The 9,517-nt window shown below is 43.2% G+C and overlaps 1 long non-coding RNA gene across 1 annotated transcript; it reads right to left on the bottom strand.

Annotated features, from left to right (window-relative positions):
- Positions 1 to 2,150: 2,150 nt before the first annotated feature.
- On the bottom strand, positions 2,151 to 9,184 carry LOC124901179 (uncharacterized). The gene is made up of 2 exons (XR_007059129.1): positions 8,959 to 9,184; positions 2,151 to 2,757 (listed from the first exon to the last, which is right to left on the bottom strand). It is a non-coding gene; the product is annotated as an uncharacterized LOC124901179 (long non-coding RNA).
- Positions 9,185 to 9,517: the final 333 nt, after the last annotated feature.

Raw genomic sequence — 9,517 nt, 5'->3', positions numbered from 1 at the left:
GTGATGATTCTTTACTCGTTAGGTAATTAAAGCCAGAAGGGTGGACCATCAGAAGTTCTGCCTGATTTGGGCTGTAGTTCTCCAATGGCTTTAATTGCAGGGCATGGTAACACTAAGAGATACCATAAGGCATCTCCTGTATGCTACAAATACTCTTCCTTACCTCCATTGTGGAGTATCCATCCATGTTCTTCTTGGTAGTCAAGATCAATTACCCCAGCCAAAACAGTAACTCTCTTCTTTTCCTTGCCTGCTGACTCAGAGACATGAGGAGAACAAAGTGGCAGAGCAGCAGTTTTAACATGAGTTATATAGAATCATTGTTGTGTCCCCTAGTGAAAGCATTCCTTCCTTTGGAACTAAGACCTGTAGGACAGTGGATAATAAGGTGTTGGAAACAGAAAGCAAAAATTTTGATAGTGGGTCAGTAGGGAAAATAGTGAATGATACCACTCTGATTTCTACTCCTTTATTCCTAGACCCATGAATCCTGGCTATGGAAGAAAAAGAACCATATATTGGAAGCTGACTCAGAGCATATAAAGCCTCCTGGTGGACATTGCTCCAGTCGTTACATTTATTGTTACTTAATTGGTGTGGTAACTGAAACTTCGAAAGGCTGTTCTGTCATTTTATTAAGCCAGCTGCTTCTGAATGGTGTGATAACGCCAGTGAATTCCATGAATATGGCTTTGCCATACTTCATTTACTTTGACATAAGTTTCTTGATCAGAAGTAATGCTGTGTGGATACCATGACAGTGTATAAGGAATTTAATAAATCCATAGATGGTAGTTTTGACAGAAGCATTGCATGCAGGCAAGGCAATTCTAATAGAGAGAGTCTATTCCAGTAAGCAGTTACAAATGCCTGCTATGACCATGTGACCAGTTACGGAAACTAGAATTGTAATTGCCATGAGCATTTCTTCCTTATTTTGTTATAAATATATATTTGTGTTTACAACAAATATATTTTCTTTCTTCTTTTATTCCTTCATCATGTAATATAGGATGTATTGACTTTATAGCATAATGTTCATGTATTGTTAACTTTACATCATAGTATTGAATAATGAGATACCAAAGAGAAAAGTAAACACCAACCAAGGACTTTGCATCCTCTTCTGGGGAAAAGTTAGTGTATTTTTGGTTGTTTTCAGGATAGTAGGATAGTTGTATTATGGTAGGTGGAATTATGATCTTATTTATTTAAATATTAAGTATGTTTTAATTGGATATATGTAAAGATGATATAGGTAGGTAGGTAGATAGATAGATGAATACCAAGTTGACAAGGAGTGGACTTGTGACAGTTAATTTTGTGTGTCAGCTTGGCTAGGCAATGGTACCCAGATATTTGGTCAAACATTTTCTATATGTTCCTGAGAAGGCGTTTTTGGATGAAATTAACATTTAAACCAATAGATCTTGAATAAAGCAGATTACTTTCCAGAATGTGGATGGGCCTCAACTAATTAATTGAAAGCCTTAATAGAAAAGTACTGACCTCTCTGGAAGAAGAAGAAATTCTGTCAGAAGATATTTTTTGAATTTAAATTGCAACTCTTCCCTGATTCCTCACTCTGCCCATCTACTCTTTAGATTTTTGTCTTGCCAACATCCACAATTGTGCAAGCCTGTTTCTTAAGATAAATTTCTCTCAGATGGATAAATACACAGATTGATAGACATATCTATCTATCTGTCTGTTTCTCTGGAAGCACATCAACTAACAAAGTAAGACATGGGCTCTGAGTCACTAAGTTCGAGGGAGGAAATATTTTAAACATGGCAAGTGCTTCAAAGGCTCTGTAGCCAAATGTTTCACTAGTCAGTGTAGACAAGGTTATGCTGCAGTAATAAACAACCATGATATCTCTGTTACTTTAAACAACATAGGCACAGTTCTTACCCTTATAAAGCATACTTCCCAGATAGCCAGGAGCTCTGCTAGGTTCTGTTATTATCTTCCTTATTCTAGGTGTTTGGTAGACAAAGCAACAATGCAAGCATTTTGTGGGACTTTACCTATGACAGTGTGTCTGGAGTTTGTTCCTTCTGGTGGGTTTGCGGTCTCACTGACTTCAAGAATGCACCGTGGACCTTCGCAGTGAGTGTTACAGCTCTTAAAGATGGCACAGACCCAAAGAGAGAACAGCAGCAAGATTTATTGTGAAGAGCAAAAGAACAAAGCTTCCACAGCGTGGAAGGGGACCCGAGTGGCTTACCACTGCTGGCTGGGGTGGCCAGCTTTTATTCCCTCATTTGTCCCTGCCCACATCCTGCTGATTGGTCCATTTTACAGAGTGCTGATTGGTCTATTTTACAAACCTCTAGCTAGCCACAGAGCGCTGATTGGTGCGTTTTTACAGAGCACTGATTGGAGCACTTTACAAACCTCTAGCTAGCCACAGAACACTGATTGGTGTGTTTTACAAACCTCTTGTATGACAGAAAAGTTCTCCAAGACCCCACTCAACCCAGGAAGTCCGGCTGGCTTCATCGCTCAATCCCCCCTCTAAACAGGACACCCTAACTGCTGTTGGGAATTGGGTGATGACCACTCTAGCTACTTCCTGTTGGATAGAGGCAAAGAAGGGGCCCTGCAGTGGCAGTGGTAGTGTCCTACAGAGCAGATCTCTCTAGGCCAGCCAAAGGGTCAGTGGGTCAGTCCAGTGGTCCACAGTAGAAATTGTTAGTAGAGCTCATTTGGTGTTCCATTTGTAAGACCATCTGTAGCTTGATGGCATCAATCCTGGAAGAAACAAATTTGACAAGGAGTCTAAAAACACAGGGCCTGAAGATGAGTAATAGCAAGATGGCTGTCACAGGACCTAGAAAGGGGGGAAGCCATGTCGCCTGACTCCAGTAGTTGGTATAAGAGTTTGAAAGGCATTGCCTGATTTCAGAAGCCTTTTCCTGTAAACACCAGGTGGCATCTCTTACTATCCCTGACTGTAGTGTAAAAGCAACACTCTTCCCCTAAGAAGGTGCAAAATCCTCCTTTCTCAGCAGTAAGGAGGTCTAGGTCTCAGTGGTTTTGGAGAGTCACTGCTGCCAAAGAATCTATTTGGGATTATAGAGTAAGGATAGATTTTGTTATTTCTTGTAAACTGTCTGAGAAATCCTTTAAGAGTGTGTGGTAATAGGATAATGAAGTAGATAAACCTGTTACTCCCATTCCTGTAGCAGTGGCCATTCCTAACCCTATAAATAGGGGTATTAGTTGTATGGCCATATGCTGATGGACTTCAGCTTTGAGGGGCACTGATAGGGTCTGATTTCCACAAGATTAGAAGTTAGGATAATACATGTTACACTGTTAACTTTCAGCAAACTTTACTTTTGTTGAAAACTTTGCAAGTTTGAGATTTCAATGATTCTTTGCTATTAATAAGAACTTGTTCAGTTCATATTAACTCAGAATTGGTATAGATGGCTCCTTCCTAATTCTGTAAGTAATTTAAGGTTTAGCTGAGTGCAAACAGCTGGCACATTTGAGCAGACCAATTATTAGGCAATCTTCCTAACTGCTTCTACAAGAGTTCCCTTATCACTTACTGAATACCCATTGTGTCTTTTTCCCTTAATGGCCTGGGAGGAACCATCCATCCTTCTGTCCTGAAGGGAGTTTCTCCTAGGTCTGGTCGGACCTTTGTATGGTGATTAGTTAAGATTTAGATCCCCTGTTAGGAAACCTGCAGAGTTAAGGATTTTTGATAGGAAGGCTATGGGTTGTCAGTGGCCTCAGTGCTTTTGGGCTATGCTCTTGTTTACACTGACAACAAGGTGGTATTTTAATGTTATAGGGTTATGGAGAAGACCTTCAATTATAAAATTATACGTTTTAAATTTACCCTGGCTTTTAAAGGAATAGGGTACACTGTTTTTTCTTTACTATTTCCATCTCTCTTTCTCACTTTCTTTCTCTTTGACTTTCTATCTCTTTCTCTCTGACTCCTTCTTTGTCTCTGTCTCTTCCTCTCTCTCTTTCTTTGACTTTCTGTCTCTTTCTTTCTCTCTTTTCTTTCTCTCTGGCTCCCTCTGTCTCTTTCTCTGTCTGTCTTTGACTTCTTTTCTTTGACTTTCTGTCTTTCCCCTACCTCTCCTCTCTGCTAGTCTTTCACTGCCTCTGCTAGCCACTTATGCTGCTGTTCTCCTCTCTCCTTCCCCATAGCTTCAGCAGTGTAAAACTGCCACCTACTTGAGTTTTTGCACTGCATGCAATAACTCCATGATTTCCTTCTGGTATTTAATGGGGGTTCCCCCAGAGGTTAGGAACTCCCTTTCTTTCCATACTGCAGCATGGGCATGTAGGATTAGATAAGCATACTTGCTATCTGTATACACATTTATTATTTTTCCCTTTCCTAGTTCTAAGGCTTGGGTAAGTGCCACTAGTTCTGCTAACTGGGCTCTGGTCCATGGGGGAATAGGCTTACTTTCAAGTACTGTTACCTCACTAACTATGGCATAATGTGCTTTTCGTATCCCATTCTCCACAAGTGAACTTCCATCAGCATATAGGTTAAGGTCAGGATTAGCTAAGGGGACTTCTAAGAGATCCTCTCAGGCAGCATAACTCTGGACTCTAATTTGTTGACAGTCATGCTTCATTGGTTCTCCATCTTCTGGGAGAACAGTGGCAGGGTTGAGGGCCACACACACACATGCATATTTAAAGCACTGGTCTCTCAAGCAGTAGTGCCTGGTATCTGAGCAGGTGGTTGTCTGATAGCCATAAACTTCCTTTGGCACCTAATATGCCATTTACCTCATGAGTAGTCCAGATAGTGAAATCCTTTCCTTGTATTATTTTGATAGCCTTTGACAGTAAGACTGCCACAGCCGCAACTACCCATAAACAGTGAGGCCAGCCTTTTGCTACTATATCAATTTCCTTACTTAGGTATGCCACTGGCTGTGGGGTTGTCCAAAAGTCTGAGTAAGGACTCCAGGAGCTATTCCTGCTCTCTCTGTGACATATAAAGAGAAGTTTTGTCCTGTGGGAAGGCTTAAAGCTGGAGCTTGTACTAGGGTCTCCTTTAAGGTTTTGAAGGCTGTTTCTGCCTCTGGTTCCCATTATACTAGATAAGTATTTGCCCTCTGGGTCTCCTTGATTAGAGTATAGAGGGGGCCTGGCTATCTCACTCTATCCAGGGATCCATAGTCGGCAAAAGCCAGTGATTCCAAGGAACCCCCACAATTGTTTTAATGTCTTAGGGTGACGATAAGCCAGCATAGGCTTTATTCATTCCTTGCTGAGGGCCCTGGTTCTTCTATCTAAGATTAGGCCTAGATATTTGACTTGTTGTAGGCAGAGCTGGACTTTCAATTTAGATGCCATACACCCTTGATTAGCTAGAAAGTTCAAGAGATCTCAAGTAGCCTGCTGGCATGAGGCTTCCAAACTGGTAGCCAAAAGTAAATCATCCACATACTGAAGGACTAGAATGCCTGGACTTCAGAAGTGGCCTAGATCTTGGGCTAGTGCCTGATCAAATAGATGAGGGCTATCCCTAAAGCCATGGGGCAAGACTGTCCATGTAATTTGGGATGTGTGATCTGTTGGATCCTCAAAGGCAAAGAGAAACTGGGAGTCAGAGTGGAGGGGAATACAGAAGAAGGCATCCTTGAGGCCCAGAACAGCGAACCATTCTGCTTCCTCTGGTATTTGAGAGAGCAGCGTATAAGGGTTGGGTACAATTGTGTATAGAGGAATTACTGACTCATTGGTGAGTCTAAGATCTTGCACTAGTCTCCACTGACCATTCGGTTTTTGTACTCCTAGAATTGGGGTGTTGCAGGGACTGCTGCATTTTCTTACTAAGACTTGAGCTTTTAAATGTCTAACAATATCCTGTAATCCTTTATGAGCTTCAGGCCTTAAGGGATATTGCCTTTGATAAGGAAAAGTGGTGTGGTCTTTTAGCCTGATTTGGACTGGGCAGGCATTTTTTGGCCTTCCAAATTGTCTTTCCAATGCCCCGACTTCAGGGTTGATTCCCTCCTCAAGCAGGGGACAACAAATGGGCAACTCGTTCCCCATATTCATGTAGATAATAGCTCCAGCTTTCGCTAATATGTCCCTCCCTAATAAGGGTATGGGACTTCCAGGCATAACAAGAAAATCATGTGAAAAGAGCAAAGTCTCCCAATTACAGCTGAGGAGGTGGGAGAAATACCAGGTTACAGGCTGTCTCAGGATTCCTTGGATGGTAACGGACCTTGAGGACAGCTGTCTGGGACAAGAGATTAACACTGAGGAAGCCACACCAGTGTCCAGGAGAAGTCAATTTCCTGGCCCTCAATGGTTAAACGTACCTGGGGTTCAGTGAGGGTGATGACATGAGCTGGCGCTTGCCCCGGGCACCCTCAGTCATGTTGTTGGATCATCTGGTTGTGGGCTTCTGGCCCAGAGAAATTTTGTCCTCTGGGGCAGTGCACCTTCCAATGATTGCCTTGGCATAGTGGACATGGGTGAGGGGGCAGCTTGTTTCTCGTTGGACAATCTTTTTTAAAATGTCCTTGCAAGCCACACTGATAACAAGCCCTACTGGTTGATTGGCCTGCTCCATTTTCTGTCCTCTCTGAACCACCAAGGTTTGTTTGTCTGAGGGCCATGACTAAGGCTGCAGCCTTTCTCTGATCTCACTTTTCCTTTTCGGCCTGTTCCTCTTGGTCCTTATTATAAAACACCAAGGTTGCCAGGTTTAATAATGCCTCCAGATTTTATTCAGGGCCCAGGGCTCACTTTTGGAGCTTTCTCCTGATATCTGTGGCTGATTGGGTAATAAACTTATCTTTTAGGATCAATTGACCCTTTGAGAGAGTTGGGTGACAAGGAAGTATATTTTCTTAAGGTCTCCTGTAGCTGCTCGAGGAAGGCAGAAGGATTTTCTTTCTTTCCCTGAGTTATGGTGGACATCATTGAATAATTCATGGACTTTTTCCTAATTCTTCTTACTCCTTCTATAACAGAGGTCAGCAGATGTTTGCGACTCCAGTCCCCATGATTTGAGTTGAGGTCCCAGTGGGGATCCATACTGGGGATGGCTTGCTGACTGTTAGGGAATTTGTCCCTTTCTTTGGCTGTCATTCTATCGTTTACTTGACTAAGATACCAAGTATCTCCAAACTCTCGGGCTGCATCTAAAGCCACATTCTTTTCATTAAAGGTGAGGGTTTGATCTAACAATAGCAAGACACATCTCCAAGTGAGGTCAAAGGTTTGCCCTAGACCCTGTAGGACATCTGAAAACTTCCCCAGGTCTACCTTGATCTGCTTTAAATCAGAAAGGGAGAAGGGGACATGTACCCAGGTTGTGCCAAATTTCCTTCTCCCTACAACTTGAAGGGGACAAAACTGATAGCCTGGGAGTTTTTGTGGTCCTCTGGAGATTTCTTTGCTTGTTTCTTTCTGGGCAGGGGAGATTAGAGGAGGCTTATCATTAATAGGAAGGGGAGCTATAGGAAAGCTAGGATATGGAGGTATGCTGAGATGTCCTCCTGTGGAATGTAAATTGCAAGCTTTGCATAGTTGTGGATTATCCTTCAATGAAAAGAAAGCTTGGACATAGGGTATTTCACTCCATTTGCCTTCCCTCTTACAGAAAAGATCAAGCTGCAGGATAGTATTAATATTTATACTTCCCTGAGGTGACCATTTTTCCCTATCAGAGAGAGAATATTGGGGCCAGGTCATAGGGCAGAAAAAGATCAGCTGCCTCTTTGTCAGGGTTCACAGGTCCAATTGGTCCCAGTGGCTTAGGATACATTTCAAGGTTGAGCCTGTTGAGGCCTGAGTGCTTCCCATGTGAAAGAAAAAACCGCCTGCAGTTTTGGTTTGTTTCCCACCCCCTGCCCAAGAACCCTCAACAGTCCCTGGACCCCGCTGATCAGAATAGTTGTGCTCACCGATGCAGCAGCAGAAACAATAGTTTTCCTCCTAGTCCAGAATGAGGACCAAGGAAGGTCGGATTTAGTGGCTCTTACTGACACATTCTCAAAAACCTGCACCCTTGCCTTTCCTTTTAGACCACAAAGAAGTCCGAGAAAAATCAGATTTAGTGGCCCTTACTGATGCATTCTCATAAGCTTGTTAGCGTTCTAAGCATTTTCTGCTTAGAACTTACCCTTGTCCTATAAAGACGTTATGTCTCAAATTTGGAGGGCCATACCCTGAGGGAGGGAAGGGATCTCCAGGGTTGGAAGAGTGACACCTTTTTTCCTCATTTCTCATCATATGGATAGGAAGGATATGATTTCTGAGGCTCCCCATATCCTAGCTTCAGGGATATAATTTGTTAGGCCTGCAAGTCTGAAGAGGGATCCTAAAATTCCAGATAGTAAACCCCCCACCAGCTACCCTGATGGGGCTTTGGGCAAAAATTACGTCTTTCTGATTGGTGAGCTTGGGTGCCTAAGGAAGGGAACAGAGTCCTGACATTTATATTAGAAATCATTCTTATAAGAGAAACTAGAAAATCACCAGAGAAGGGAGTGGTTTTTAGAAGCAGGACTAGCCTCAGAAAAGACACAGGAGGAAGTTTGTCTGACAGGCATTAGGACCCAGGAGGCAAGGATGAGGATAGATAGGATACATGGTCAAGTCTCACTTGGGCGACGTGACTTTGAGAGTTCCCCTCATGGCTACAGGGTCAACCAACTTTTTGTTGGGACTCCGGAGCTGAATGGCTTTTCTCTCTGTCAACCCTCGGCTCAGCCCAGAAGTACAAGAAAAGCAGAAACTGGTTCCAGGCAAACCAACGCTCCCAACTCCAAAGAGTTGGGGGTTGTTAGAGAGCCCTTTCCCAGAAAGCCTGACACCCATGTCTTTAGTCCAGCGGCCATGCTAGTTGCTTTTAACTGGCTGACAGGTGCTCGGTGTTTAGCCCCCAAATTCTAAGGAATAATAGGACAGAATAGCAAGTGAAAGGGGTCCAATGGTACTCACCACTTGGCGATAGTCCCTTCATAGTTTCCAAGATGTGTCCGGAGTTTGTTCCTTCTGGTGGGTTCGTGGTCTCACTGACTTCCAGAATGGAGCTGCAGACCTTCGCGGTGAGTGTTATAGCTCTTAAAGATGACACAGACCCAAAGAGTGAGCAGCAGAAAGATTTATTGTGAAGAGCGAAAGAACAAAGTTTCCACAGCGTGAAAGGGGGTCCAAGCAGGTTGCTGCTGCTCACTGGGGTGGCCAGCTTTTATTGCCTTATTTGTCTCTGCCCACATCCTACTGATTGGTCCATTTTACAGAGTGCTGATCGGTCCAATTTTACAAAGCTCTAGCTAGCCACAGAGTGCTGATTGAGGCATTTTGCAATCCTAGCTACAGACTGCTGATTCATGCATTTTACAATCCTCTTGTAAGACAGAAAAGTCCTCCAAGTCCCCACTTGACCCAGGATGTCCAGCTGGCTTCACCCCTCAACAGTAGCAGAGGTAAGAGAGACTGTAGTAAATATGTTTTGTCTCTCAAACAATCCTCCCTGCCAGATTTCTTTACAAACCTC

This window comes from Homo sapiens, chromosome 5 (assembly GCF_000001405.40).
Source record: "Homo sapiens chromosome 5, GRCh38.p14 Primary Assembly".
NCBI lineage: Eukaryota > Metazoa > Chordata > Mammalia > Primates > Hominidae > Homo > Homo sapiens.
The sequence above is the reverse complement of the archived record's forward strand: the minus strand, read 5'-3'. Positions and strand labels throughout refer to the sequence as shown.